At 55.3% G+C, this 13188-nt stretch overlaps 1 long non-coding RNA gene across 1 annotated transcript, besides 6 other annotated features; it reads left to right on the forward strand.

Annotated features, from left to right (window-relative positions):
• Nucleotides 4168-4227: an enhancer, noted in NCBI's record as "active region_29110". NCBI's record gives its function as "activates an Ori minimal core promoter by ATAC-STARR-seq in GM12878 lymphoblastoid cells {active_cell/tissue: GM12878}" and the evidence as "EXISTENCE:reporter gene assay evidence [ECO:0000049][PMID:35858748]".
• Nucleotides 4388-4507: a silencer, noted in NCBI's record as "silent region_20371". NCBI's record gives its function as "represses an Ori minimal core promoter by ATAC-STARR-seq in GM12878 lymphoblastoid cells {active_cell/tissue: GM12878}" and the evidence as "EXISTENCE:reporter gene assay evidence [ECO:0000049][PMID:35858748]".
• LINC02913 (long intergenic non-protein coding RNA 2913) lies at nucleotides 4698-6285 on the forward strand. The gene is made up of 2 exons (NR_149714.1): nucleotides 4698-4728; nucleotides 5474-6285. It is a non-coding gene; the product is annotated as a long intergenic non-protein coding RNA 2913 (long non-coding RNA).
• Nucleotides 4708-4757: an enhancer, noted in NCBI's record as "active region_29111". NCBI's record gives its function as "activates an Ori minimal core promoter by ATAC-STARR-seq in GM12878 lymphoblastoid cells {active_cell/tissue: GM12878}" and the evidence as "EXISTENCE:reporter gene assay evidence [ECO:0000049][PMID:35858748]".
• Nucleotides 5080-5648: an enhancer, noted in NCBI's record as "H3K27ac-H3K4me1 hESC enhancer chr9:132083677-132084245 (GRCh37/hg19 assembly coordinates)". NCBI's record gives its function as "activates a minimal SCP1, AML or CMV promoter by ChIP-STARR-seq in primed H9 embryonic stem cells {active_cell/tissue: H9 hESC(primed)}" and the evidence as "EXISTENCE:reporter gene assay evidence [ECO:0000049][PMID:30033119]".
• Nucleotides 5649-6216: an enhancer, noted in NCBI's record as "H3K4me1 hESC enhancer chr9:132084246-132084813 (GRCh37/hg19 assembly coordinates)". NCBI's record gives its function as "activates a minimal SCP1, AML or CMV promoter by ChIP-STARR-seq in naive H9 embryonic stem cells {active_cell/tissue: H9 hESC(naive)}" and the evidence as "EXISTENCE:reporter gene assay evidence [ECO:0000049][PMID:30033119]".
• Nucleotides 8258-8759: an enhancer, noted in NCBI's record as "H3K4me1 hESC enhancer chr9:132086855-132087356 (GRCh37/hg19 assembly coordinates)". NCBI's record gives its function as "activates a minimal SCP1, AML or CMV promoter by ChIP-STARR-seq in naive H9 embryonic stem cells {active_cell/tissue: H9 hESC(naive)}" and the evidence as "EXISTENCE:reporter gene assay evidence [ECO:0000049][PMID:30033119]".

A 13188-nucleotide genomic window follows, 5' to 3' on the forward strand; every position in this document is an offset into this window, starting at 1 on the left:
CTGAAATCCATGAATGCATTAATCCATTCCTGAGGGCAGAACCCTCATGCTCCAATCACGTCTTAAAGCTCCCACCTCTCGATACTGCCCCACTGGAGATTAAGTTCTTCATGACACATGAAATTTGGGGGACACATTCAACCCACAGCAGGCCTGGAGCCCCATCTTGGTCACCAGCCATCCTACCCTGAAGATAGATGCCCATCTGGCCTCATTCTTGATGGCCAACCCCTGGGGTGGTCACTGAGTCTTTCCTGGCTCTGGAAGATGCCCTGGTTTCGTCCCATCCTCACCAAGGCCCGCCTGGATCTCCAGCCTTTGCTTCCATTCTCTGAGCTCCCTCTTGGTCTGATGATAAAGCCCCTTTCTGCTCAAGTCAAACGAAGTCCATTTCTCTTGCTTATAACCACAGAAACCTGACTGGTTAGACACTGAATGCCACCCGACTCTGCCCTAACTCACTGCATGACCCTGGGCAAGATGGCCCCTCTCTGGGCCTCAGTTTCTCCAACTGCACGGCTGAACGCGCCTCCCATGCTGACGCCCCAAGGCCCTGTGGCTGCTTTGGTCATCGTGGCTGACTTGGACTGGTGGTGTGTTTGCTGCTGAGGATCGGTGGGGGCCTTCCCTGCCCTGACCCTGGAGGTCTATGGGGCGTGCCTGGTTGGGGAGAGGGGATGACAGCTGGGGAATCCTCAGCTTCTGTGTAGTTGGGCTCATAAGGACCAATGTGTTGGTACCAAGGCTGTTGCTTTAATAGGCAGTGGTCCACTTCTCTTTAAGTCCTTTTGCTTCAAATTTTTGGGAATCTGATAAAGGCTTTAGCTGCTTTCCTTAGACCAAAAAACTTTCCTCTACTCCCCTTGTTCCTTCTCTGCACACTTTATTTTTACTTTTATTATTTTTTGAGGCAGAATCTTACTGTGTCACCCAGGCTGGAGTGCAGCGGCGTGATCACAGCCCCCTGCAGCCTTGATCTTCCGGGCTCAAGTGATTCTCCCATCTCAGCCTCCCGAGTAGCTGGGACTATAGGTGCCAGCCACCATACCTGGCTAATTTTTGTTGTTGTGTTGTTTTAGTAGAGACGAGGTCTCGCCATGTTGCCCAGGCTGGCATGCTTTAAGGTACAGTTTCCAGAGGAGGTGGAGGAGCAGCCTTCAGAGGCCTGTCCTGACCCTAAGGTGACCAGCCTCTGGGTTTCCAGATGAGCAGCTTTGGCACACAGGTCAGAGGCCAGGTACAGTGGGCACTTTGTTAGTATCGCTTCATGTCAACTCATCCACCTGAAGAGGACAGCGTTTGAGGTAGAGATTGCTATGTTTTCACCAAACCCTGGTTCATTGGCTTCCTCCTGGGCATGCAGCTGGACTGCATTTCCCAGCCTCCCTTGCAGCTGGGAGTGGTCACATGACCCGGCTCTGGCCTGTGCAACGGGAGCTGAAATGATGTGGCTCCTCTGCTCCTGGTTTAGCTTGGTCCACAAGCATCCTTCCATGCTATCCTCCATGCTCCCTCTTTCTTCTCCCACATGGTTGCAGCAGAGGAGGATAAGGCCTTAGGTGATGACAGGGTCACGGGGTGAAGGGGCCCGGGCCCCTGAGTGACCACATGGAGCAGAGCCCTTGCCCCTCCCTCCACCAGCCCCCAGGAGACTGTAATGCAAGCAAGAAATAAACTTCTCTTCGGGGGCTGTTTCTTACATTTGTTATGACTAAGTCAACATTTTCATCATCCCCATCCAGGGGAAGTCCTTTTCCACTGAAAAGGAATCCATCTCAGGGCTCCTTTAAAATAGAGAGCTCCTCCAGTGCCTTTGGCCTGGGATCCCTGAAGCTGGAGAGTGTCTGCCTCCGGCCCTGAGCCTAGCGCCTGCCTGAACCTCAGGGCATCTTCTCTGGGGCTCTGATTTACAGTGACTCTGGGCTTCACCCCTTGCCCTCAGGTTCCCACCCCTGCTTTCCTCCTTCCTCGTGTCTGTAGTCTGTGGCCTTCTTCTTCCATCCTGCGGCCTCCCATTTACTTTGACCATTGTCTGGGGTTGAAAGACCAAGGTTCAGGGGTCAGGTGTATCTATTTTTTTCCCTTCTCCCTGACAAATTGCTCCCTGTGGGCAGGGCCCGCGCTGGCTCACTGTGAACTTCCTCCTACACAGTAGAAGGTTGAGCACACAGGGGCCGCTTCTGGAACGCCACATTCTTTGCAGTTCCACAGTGTGGAAGGCCCTGAGGGGGTTGCTCCCAGGATCCCATGTTCCCTGGGGCACTCGGATTCCAAAGAGAGAAGCCGGCCTCTGTTTCCGGCTCATTTCCTAAGTGAGCCACTGCAGGGCTCCAGAAAGGTGGAGTCCAGGCAGCTGGCTCTGGCCTCTTTTCCCAGCTACACACAGCATCCTGGCCCCTGTCCACAGCCCCTCCATGTCTGGGAGACCAAGAGACAGGTCTAATGCCGTGCCCAACCTATCCCCACTGTGGGAAACTCTTTCCATCACCCTTCCTCCCAGCGGGGACCACTTTCCACCTTTTAAATAATTAAGTTGGTCTCCAAACCACCAGTTACCAAACCCTTCTGCCCTTGGTAATCTTCCAAAAAATTTACAACAACAACTCTCCTTGCTGTGTGCCAGGCCCCAGGCTAAGCCACTTATACCCTAGATACCAATCCCTGGGGATGGATGTCATCAGTATCCCCATTTGACAGATAAGGAAGGTGAGGTTCAAAGGGCCTCCTGCCCCCCGTCGCCCCCGCCCTGGCCCTGTACCAGCTTCGAATGCAGTGGCAGGGGGCCACGATCTTGTGCCCAGGCCTGGTTCTCCTACCCCCAGCAGCGGGAGAGAATGCCGGGGAGGCACGAAGCCGATCCCTCCCCAGGGGGCTCCCACAGCTCCCAAGCTCACTGACACTTGGGTTTCCTTCCTCTCCTCTGGCCCTCCCCTGGCCCCCTCTGCTGCACCCCCAGCTTGTCCCACCCACCCTTGAGCTCGACCCCTCTCCCTCCCCGGTTCCCACCATCAAAAGCGCCTGCTGCAGGGCTTGGCTCTGTTTGGTTTCTCCAGAGCCTGCCCAGGGAGCTCTGCCTCTCGGAGGCTGTGTGCTCACTTTGCAAAACAGCAGAAATTTATAGCCCAAGTAATTGATCACGGCGCTTCTGCCTCCCTCCATCTCTCTCGGGCTCCTAATTCCCTTCTCCCGCTCTTCTCTTTTTTCTCAGCGCGCCATCTGTGGTGTCAGAGAAAAGGAAGCCAAAAGTGGGGGGGTGTTTCTAGTCCCAGTTCTGCCAATTACGAGTCACATGAACCTCAGTTTCCCCATCCGCAAAACGGAGAAGCTAATAATACCTGCTCACAAGTGTGCCGGGCCCGTGGAGGCCGGGGCCGGGAGGAGCACCCAGACGGAGTGACTTCTGGCCCTGAGCCACCCTGTGGGGGTGCAGGGTGGGGTGGGGGCCCACCTTCCCAATGGGGACACTGGGGCCAAGAGAGCTCGAGCCATTCACTCAGGGTCGCAGAGCTGGTAAACAGCAGCCCTGGGGCTTGAACCAGGTGAGTTGTACCTCAAAGACGGAACCATTAGGCCACACTCCCCCGACGCCGGCCCCAGGGCCCATCAGAAAACAGGTGAGCCTCCCCAGGCCTCCCAGACCCCTATTTCACTCCATTCTGGAGCTAACTGTGGGGCAGAAGGAGAGGCCACTAGGGCAAAGTGAACACTTTGCAAATTGTAGAGAGCCGCGAGGATGGAAGGAAACTTCACAATCATTCCCATCACTCTTCAGGGCCGGCCCCCCTGGATCAGACCCCTCCACTGTCTGGGAGACTCACTGGGACCTAAGAGCTTCCCTGGCCCTCAGTTGCTGTCTCTCCCTCCAGAGAAGCTGTATGAATAGCGGCCTCCCTCCGGCCAGGCCCCTACACCTGCCAGTCTCCAGGAAGGCCCACAGAACCTTGCAGAACAACTCACAAATGACCCCGAAGAGCACTTCACTCGCCCTTCCGTGGCAGATGAGGCAGCAGACCTGGGAGGGGAGGCCCAGGTTCCCGGCCCGAGCTCTGGGGGGCCCGGGGCTGGAAACTCCCCTCTGAGCCCCACTCCAGGGCGGGGCTGAGGCCATTCCTGACCCCTTCTGTTCGGTTCTGGGGGATGGGGGACGAGTGCTTCCAGGGGGGAAAGTGCTTGTCTTTTTTCCCCTCCGCCCTCAGTCTAGCTTGTCTCTGCCTGTGTACGTCTCTCTGTCTCTCGCTGTCTCTGTGTGTGTCTTTCTCTCCAAGCCCCCAGCCCGCAGGTACGGGCTTGCTTCCACCCGTGCGTGGCCCCCAAGACTGAGCACAGCTCCTCGGGTGTTTGCATCCAAGGTGCCCACAGCGCCCCGGCCTCCTCCCTTCCCCATGGCAGCCCCGGGGGTTGCTCTGGGCAGGGCGGTCCGCAGCTCGGGGGCGGCGGGCACGTTCTGTTCCCCGCTTTCGGGCGGGGACCGCAGGCTCCAGCCCCGGCGGCTGCCTGCTCCCGCCTGGCTGGCGGAGATGAGAGCCGGCTGCAGGGCTGGGAGCGAGGCAGCAGCACACAGAACAAACAGAATTTTTTTTTGCAACTAGAGGGGGAAGCACAGAGCTAAAAATAAAACGAAAAGATCAGTATCTGTCAGTCTGACAGCTGATTGGCTGCTCGGAGATGCATATAATTACCAGCAACTGGCGCTGGGTAGGCAAAGCCGGGAGAAACTGCTGAGACGAGGTTAGGATTTAACCTTTAAATTCTGGAGCCATCGGAAACCGAGGGGAGGACGACGGGTGTCGGTGCTAATGAGGCTGGGGGCGGGCGATGCGCGGTGGGCCTCCGAGTCCGGGGCAGGTCTCGGGGGTTCCCCGGGGAAGGCCCTGGGAGCCCTTGGCCCTGGCGGCCTCCGCCATCAGACTGGGAATGTCTCTGATTGGGTGGCCAGGAGGCGGTGGCCCTCCTCCCCGCCCAGCTGAGGGGTGTCGTCTTCCGCGAAGTTAGGGTCTCACCTGGGAGGCAAGGAGGGAGGGGGCTGCCTGAGGCCCTGGGCCCCTCCGGGACTGGCGCACCCCGTCTCACCCACATTCCTTCGCCTTTCCCTGCCCAGTGTGGATTTCCAAAACCCATCCCCGCTCCCCTCCTTCCTTCACCCCAAGTCACCCGTTCCCAGCTCTGTTTCTTGCCCCACCCAGGGAGGGCTTTTCCGCACCTCAGGCTTGTCCTAGGGCCCCCAGACAGACAAAAACTGCGGCAGTTGAGGGGTGTTGTGCTCTCCCTAAGCCTCAATTTCTTCATCTGTTAAAGGCAGGTGATGAAAATTGGGCCTACCTGGCTGCTGGTCAAATGCCAGGGCTGCTGTGGGCCCAGCCTTGCATGTTGACTCTCACCTGAGCCAGGAGTCAGGAGATCGGGGTTCTAGTCCAGCTGGGAATTGTCCCAGTGTGAATTGGGAGTAAGAGTTCCTGCCCTCTGACCTCTCCAGGTGGCAGCGGGGACCACGTGAGATGGCGTATGTGGCCTTGAGCGATAAACCTCACCTGTCGGGGGAGGTGGGCGAGGAAGCCTGCAGCTCCTGGAACCCACCACTTTTCTCTCCCAGGCCCTTGCCCAGGCTGTGGCCTCTGCCTGGAACCCCTTTTCTTCCCATCCGAGCCCTTCCCTTCAGTGCCTCTTCCTCTGGGAAGTCCTCTCTGGTGCCCAGCCCGTCCTCTTCTGCCCACTCTGGGTTTCGCACCCCATGCTTAGGCCCTGATTGCCTGCTTTGCACACAGGGCTGTGAGCTCCATGAGGGCAGGAACCACATGGCTGTTCACAGCTGTGTTGCCAGGGCCTGGCCTGGAGACCCTCAGGAAGTGAGACATCTGAATCCTCTGCTCTGTGACCCTGGCAGCCAGGTAGAGCCATCTTGGCCATGGCACCCAGGCTTGGAGCAAGCAGCAGCCTCATGGGTGGGGAACCACGTTTCCCCAGCACATCGGCAGGCCCTAAGGGGACATTCGCTTGGCTCTGCCCTCAGAGCACTGATGCCCGGGGGACACTGCCCTTTGTGTGTCCCATGTAAGAGAGGATGCAACCTTAGAGGGGGCAGGGGTAAACATGGTCCCAGGCCCTGTTGTCCCCTCCTAAGAAAGTTCCCAGTTCTGCCTGTCCATCCCTGGCCTTTTCCCTGTGCTGTCTGGGACAGTGGGTGGAGCTGCCGCTGAGCGGTGGGACCTAGAAAACACATACTGACCTATAGGAGGCACTGCCCAGAGCTCCTAACTGGGGTGGGGTGCAAAGGAAAGGTGGGTGAGGGAAGCAGAGAGAAATCATATTAGTAGCTCACACGTCAACAGTCTAGCTGTGTGCCTGCCTCTCTCATGCACTTCATGGGGATTATTTCCTAGAATTCCCACAAGAGCCCCTTGCAGGTGGTGCGATTGTTAGCTATAATTTGAAGATGAGGAAACTGAGGCACAGAGTAGTTAAGCAATGCACCCAGGAGCCCACAGCTAGGGAGGACAGAGGCTGGATCCAGCCCAGTCCCCTGTCTCCTGGGGCCAGGCCCAGCGCTCCCACCTCTCTGATAAGGATAAAAAGGAGGGAGCGGGAAGGGAGATATTCCAGAGGCAACTACCATGAGACCTCCCGGCAGAGAGGCTTGAAAACATCTTTTGTGTGTGGTACGCAAACCATTTCCCCTTTGGTGTCTCTTTGAAAGATTTTGGGAAGATTTAAACTTTTTTTCAATGATTTGGGGATGTCAGACTGGTGTTTTTTTGAGGGTGACACCGTGATGAGACTGGCCCCCAAGGCAGCCCCGTTTTACTCAGGTTATGGTAATAGAACTTCTGCAGCCTCAAAAGCAGCTTCCGCCGACTGAGCGCTCACCCCGGGGTCCGTGCTGGACTCAGCCTTGACTCGGATGCCCACCCTGAGCCCCACCCGAGAAAGGGATTATTTCATCCCTGCATTATTTCCTTAGAGCTGATGGCAGAATCTGCTCATCTCCAAATTCGCTGTCTCCCCGTTAGGAGTGAGCTTGGTGAGGGCTCCAATCTGGTCTCCCCCGTTCATTGCTGAGTCCCTGGCACCCAGCATCAGCCCCGCATGGAGCAGCTAGTCAATAAAGCTTTGCTGGACACATTTCAGATGAAGAGACTGAGGGTCAGAGAGGTCACATGGCTTGCTTGGAAGAAACATCAGATTTGTCTGGCTCAAGAGTCCACTTCTGGCTCCCCCCTCACACAGTTGCTTAAGAGACCCCCAGCCCAAGACAGCCTCAGAGCCTGGGTCTTCCCCCCCTCCGCCCATTCTCAGGCCCTTATACTAAAACCAGAGAGGCCTCTGAACTGCTGTCTGCCCCCCCAACCTTTTCCTTGCTTATCTGGGAATCACGCAAAAGTTGGCCAGAGTTAGCTCAGTCTCAGAGAAGCTGCATTCTTCTAGAGTCACTCGGTTTTGCGTGACCTGATTCAAATTTTCCATCTTTGTCACTTTGATTCCCACTCTGAGAAGTTTTCTCAGTACATATAACCTTACTATGTGATGACTGGCCTGGGTATTCATATGTGCACTTGTTACCTGTTGCTTATCTCCTGGGGGACCCCTGGTTCAGAGGGGTTTAAGCAGGTGTCCTGGTGAGACCGGGGTTATAATCAGAGACTCTCAGGGTTAGAGCTTGGCCCTGCCACTGAGTGGCCTTGGGAGTCTCATTTGACCTCTCTGAACCTTGGATTCCTCACTTGTGAAATGGGGACAGGTTGAGTTCCTGCATGGAAAGTGTCTTGCTTGATGTCTCGCCAAAAGACCAAAACTGCCGTCACTCACTGCCGGAGAGGCCCTGCACGTGGATATTAGAGTTTGCTGGGTTTTGTTTGTCCTGAGCGAATGTCCGTCCATGTACAGGCTGATGGATTTTGTAGGTGCAAGGTCCCTAACGCAATCAATCTCTCTCCTCAAAAGACCATGAGCATGCCTGGACTCAGAGAGCACCGTGTGTGGGGGGCTGGCGTGGGCACGTGTCCGCAGCTGGGACTGGCTTCTAGGGTTCTGGGCTCAGGCAGGAGGGCGGGGTCCCAGGAGGTCATCTCTCTCTCCTTACCCTGGAGCCTTTGGAATTTGGTTTCCAAATGTCCTGAATTCCTGTTCATTAATATGTGGCTCAGTACAGTGCTTGTCCCGGCAGCAGGAGCTTGGTTGGTGTTAGTCTGCTGGGGAATGGGATAAAGCAGAGAAATGTCAAGCTTTCCCTTAAAAACAAAAAACAAAAGCAAACCCTCACATCTCCCACCAATAACACACCATTGTTATCCCTGTACTTAAGACATGTTGTTGCCGGGCATGGTAGCTCACACTTGTAATCCCGACACTTTGGGAGGCTGAGGCGGGTGGGTCACCTGAGGTTGGGAGTTTGAGACCAGCCTGACCAACATGGAGAAACCTCGTCTCTACTAAAAATACAAAATTAGCCGGGCATGGTGGTGCATGCCTGTAATCCCAGCTGCTGGGGAGGCTGAGGCAGGAGAATGGCTGGAACCCGGGAGGTGGAGGTTGTGGTGAGCTGAGATCGCACCATTGCCCTCCAGCCTGGGCAACAAGAGCAAAACTCTGTAAGAAAAGAAAAGAAAGAAAGAAATGTTATTTTGGAAAAACATCTGCCTGAACTCCAGGCAGTACCAGCACCTTCCTTGTGTCCAGCGTTGCATGGGGAGTGCCAGACAGCAAGGCCCCACTTGTGGGCAGGTCTGTGCACTGTGACATGCCAGCCTCTTCACAGCCCAGGTCATCCTCACCTCCACCCCATGAGGTGCAACTAGATGAAACTGCCACTTCCCAGATAAGGAAGATGCACAGGGAGCTAAGAGGCCCGGCTGAAGGTCCCACAGTGAGAAAAGTCAGTAGCCCAGCTGTGGGCCTGAGCCCCAGGTGCTCCAGTGGGCAGGATGGAGTCCTGGTCTTCAGCAAGGCTCAGCTTGGTGGGGGAGACACATCCCCGACCCCAGACAGACTTTGAGTTCTGGCAGCTGGGCACTGGGGGAGCTTTCTGGGAACAAGCGTGAACCACACATGGTCCCTGCCCTGGAGTCGCTTACATCTCCCAGGAGAGGGGGATACATCCACAGACTGTGAACACATGGGCCTAAGAGGGGCCACCCAGGGCTGCAGAACTGATCCATCCCATACAAAATCACTGAAAAGACCCCCACAGACCTTGCTTAAAAATAGTCTTCTTGGCCAGGTGCAGTGGCTCACGCCTGTGATTCCAGCACTTTGAGAGGCTGAGGTGGGTGGATCACCTGAGGGCGGGAGTTCAAGACCAGCCTGGCCAACATGGGAAAACCCCGTCTCTACTAAAAATACAAAAAATTAGCCGGGTGTGGTGGCGGATGCCTGTAATCCCAGCTACTCGGGAGGCTGAGGCAGGAGAATCGCTTGAACCTAGGAGGCAGAGATTGCTTTGAGCTGAGATCACGCCGCTGCACTCCAGCCTGGGCACTAGAGCGAGACTCCGTCTCAAAAGTCTCCTGGCGGTGTGTCCGCATCAGAGTTCAGGTCGTTCATTGTGAATGGATGGTGCATCTTTTACATCTAAGTGGACTCCTTTTTAAGCCGTATTTGAGACCTAGTTGGCTTTCCCTTCCCAAGAATGTCCTGGCCCATGGTCCTGGAGACCTCTGAACCTGGGTGTCCAGCTACTAGACACGTAAAAACCATTTCTAAGTACCCCTTGTGGGCCAGGCTTATATCTGTAATCCCAACACTTAGGGAGGCTGAGGCAGGAGGATTACTTGAGCCCAGGAGTTTGAGACCAGCTTGGGCAACAGGGTGAGACCCAGTGTCTACAAAGAGTAAGATGATTAGTGGAACATGCTGGTGTGCACCTGTAGTCCCAGCTACTTGGAGGCTGAGGTAGGAAGATCACTTGAGCCTGGGAGGTTGAGGCTGCAGTGAGTCTTGATTGTGCCACTGTACTCCAGCCTGGACAACACAGTGAGATCCTGTCTCAAAAAAAAAAAAAAAAAAAAAAAAGAAGCCCTTGTGTCCCTCCCCTGCAATCCTGTGCTGTGCCCAGAGGTGGCTTCCAGTCCAGAATGGAGAAGACGCATTCCGGCCGTCATGGGCTCTGGGGACCCCACCTCCTCCAGGCTGCTGGCAGATGGAGAAAATGTGTCTGGGGCAGAGGCTACGAGCTGAAGTTGCCAGTTGATAGCAGCACCTGCTGTATCCATCTGACCTTCCAGCTCTCACCTTTAACCTTTGCACTCTCCTGACCAGTATCTCCAAGGCCTCCAATCTCCTGTGGGTTGTGGGGTGGAAGTGAGAGGGGTAGGGGAGGGAAGAGGTCTGCCTGGGAGGAGCCAGGGAAGCAGCTGGGGTGGAAGCCCCACAGAGACCCCACTCCCTGGAATGCTTCTGGGCTGGCCGCACCCCCACGCTTGGTGCAGGTTTCTACAAGAAATTCAAATGTGTCTGCGGCTGGATTCTGCCAGGCTCCCCTGAAACCTGCAAACAAGAGCCCACATGTCCTCGAGGACAGCTTGCAAGAGAACGGGGGACGAGGAGCATCTAGCGAAAACCCAGGATGAGTGCACGAGGTGCCCCTTCCCATCCTGGGCCTCACAGGGCAGCCTGTGGCCACCCCCATCGCCAGCAGGGCTGGGTGGGAGTGGGGAAACAAAGACTTTATTTTAAAGAAAAGATGGGCCAGGCATGGTGGCTCACGCCTGTAATCCCAGCACTTTCGGAGGCTGAGATGGGCGGATCATGAGGTCAGGAGTTCGAGACCAGCCTGGCCAACATGGTGAAACCCTGTCTCTACTAAAGATAAAAAAAAATTAGCCAGGCGTGGTAGCACATGCCTGTAATCCCAGCTACTTGGGAGGCTGAGGCAGGAGAATCGTTTGAATCCAGGAGGTGGAGGTTGCAGTGAACTGAGATCGCGCCATTATACTCCAGCCTGGGCAACAGGGTAAGACTCCGTCTCAAAAAAAAAAAAAAAAAAAAAAAAAAGCCAGGTGCGATGGCTCACGCCTGTAATCCCAGCACTTTTGGAGGCCAAGGTGGGAGAAACATTTGGGTTCAGGAGTTCGAGGCCAGCCCGGACAACATGGCGAAACCCTGTCTCTACTAAAAATACAAAAATTAGCCGGGTGTGGTGGCAGGCACCTGTAATCCCAGCTACTCAGGAGGCTGAGGCAGGAGAATCACCTGAACCTGGGAGGTGGAGGTTGCAGTGAGCAGAGATCGTGCCATTGCACTCCAGCATGGGGGACAAGAACAAGACTCTATCTCAAAAAAAAAAAAAAAAAAAAAAGGATAAGAGAGCAGGTGCCACCGCTGAAAAATAATCCCGACAAATGCCTTCCCTTCTGCACCTCAAATTTCTCAACTAATTCCTCTCTCTGTTCCCACTGGGAAAGTCCCTTCTTCTGTTATTTGCCCCAAGGCCCATGTTTGCCCAACGAGCAAACTGCATTTGTTAAGTAACATAAGCGTTCTCATTTTGGGTTACTGAAGGGCAGAGATGATGCCTGTTAACTCCCATCAGCTCCCAGCAGACTGAACAGGCACAGTGGGCTGACACCATCCCACCCAAAGCAAAGAAATGTGGTGGAGGAAGCCTGGGGCGGCCTGGCCTGCAGTAAAGGTGCAGTGACCGTCAGGGACTGGGAGAGGCTGTGAATAGCATGGAGCCAGTCCCCACACCAGAGAGCCTTTGAAGGCTTGCTCCACGGAACCAATTGGGAACTGCTGGGCTAAGCCAGTTGGATGGAGGTGCAGTTCTGACCATCCCCGTGGCCACTCCCACTTCCCCTGGACAGCAGGGTATCCAGGGACAACTCAGTGGCTGTGGGATCACCCTGACTCTGCCATTTAGTAGGCTGTCCTTGGGGAGATGACTTCCCCTCTCTGAGACCTTGGGTCCCAGGGTCTCCCTCCTGGGTTGGGAGTGCTCTGTAAGGGCCAAGTGTCTTTCATGTCGCTGTCACCTCTCTTTCAGGTCTCCTGACTTCCCACCATGTGATGCAATGATCATCTTGCTGGATTTCTGTGATGAGAGAGGGATGCTGTGGTATAGAATAAACATGGAAATGGGTCTTGGGAAATTCCTCTGGAGTCCCTCTGAGGAGTGGTCTGTGATGGGACAGGGGCCCTGGAAGGGGAGGGAGGAAGGCAGGTGTGGCCGCCCCTTAGGAGGCAGGCAGAGGGCACCCTGCAACCAGGGTGCATCCAAGCGTTCCCCAACCTTAATGTGCCTTGACTCGCTGTGGGGTTTCGTTCAGATGCAGGTTCTGAGGGAGCAGGCCTGGCCAGGGGCTCCCAGGTGAGATGGAGGCTGTGCCAGCTGGGACCACATTCTTTGTAGTAAGGGTGTTACGAATTCTTTTCACCCTCAGTGCCCACGCCTGAGCCTCTGGCTGGAGGGAAGTGGGCAGGCCACTTGATGTCTGCAGAGATGCCTCCAGAAAGGCCCGAGAGCCCCAGAATGCATGTGCCAGGAAACACGAAGCAACATGAGGGTAAAATTATGTTTTTAACAGAAGAAAAGACCTCTGCCTTGCAGCGTGTAGACAGATTTCTATTCCCACCCCCACGCAGCCCCAGGGACCTGAAAGAATGTGGTTTTCTGAGCACGGCCTTCCGTTGCTGAAGGGGGCGGATCCACTCTTAAAAAGTTGCTGTAAAATGAATTTTTCTATATCAAATGCTATTTTCCAGTGGCTTGTGTTTTAAGACCATGGTTTCATTCCCACTGAGAAATACCCAGCCTTGGTGTTCCGGATGCAGCAACCACGAAGGGGTGGGGGCTCAAGGGTGCAGCCCAACCCATGTGTCCCATGTGTCCTTGTGTGGCAGAGCTGATGGGAGCTGGCACTAGGGTTTGGGATTCAAAGTCTGAATCCCAAGTGCTCCCCAAATGGGCTGAGGTCCCTGGCCAGACCCTGGCCCAACACCACTCATTGTAAGATGGGAGTAGGCCGGGCGTGGTGGCTCACGCCTGTGATCCCAGCACTTTGGGAGGCCGAGGCCGAGGGCAGATCACGTGGTCAGGAGTTTGAGACCAGCCTGGCCAACATGGTGAAACCCCGTCTCTACTAAAAATACCAAAAAAAAAAGAAAAAAAAATTAGCTGGGCGTAGTGGCAGGTGCCTGTAATCCCAGCTACTTGGGAGGCTGAGGCAGGAGAATCGCTTGAACCTGGGAGGCAGAGGT

This window comes from Homo sapiens, chromosome 9 (genome assembly GCF_000001405.40).
Source record: "Homo sapiens chromosome 9, GRCh38.p14 Primary Assembly".
Lineage (NCBI taxonomy): Eukaryota > Metazoa > Chordata > Mammalia > Primates > Hominidae > Homo > Homo sapiens.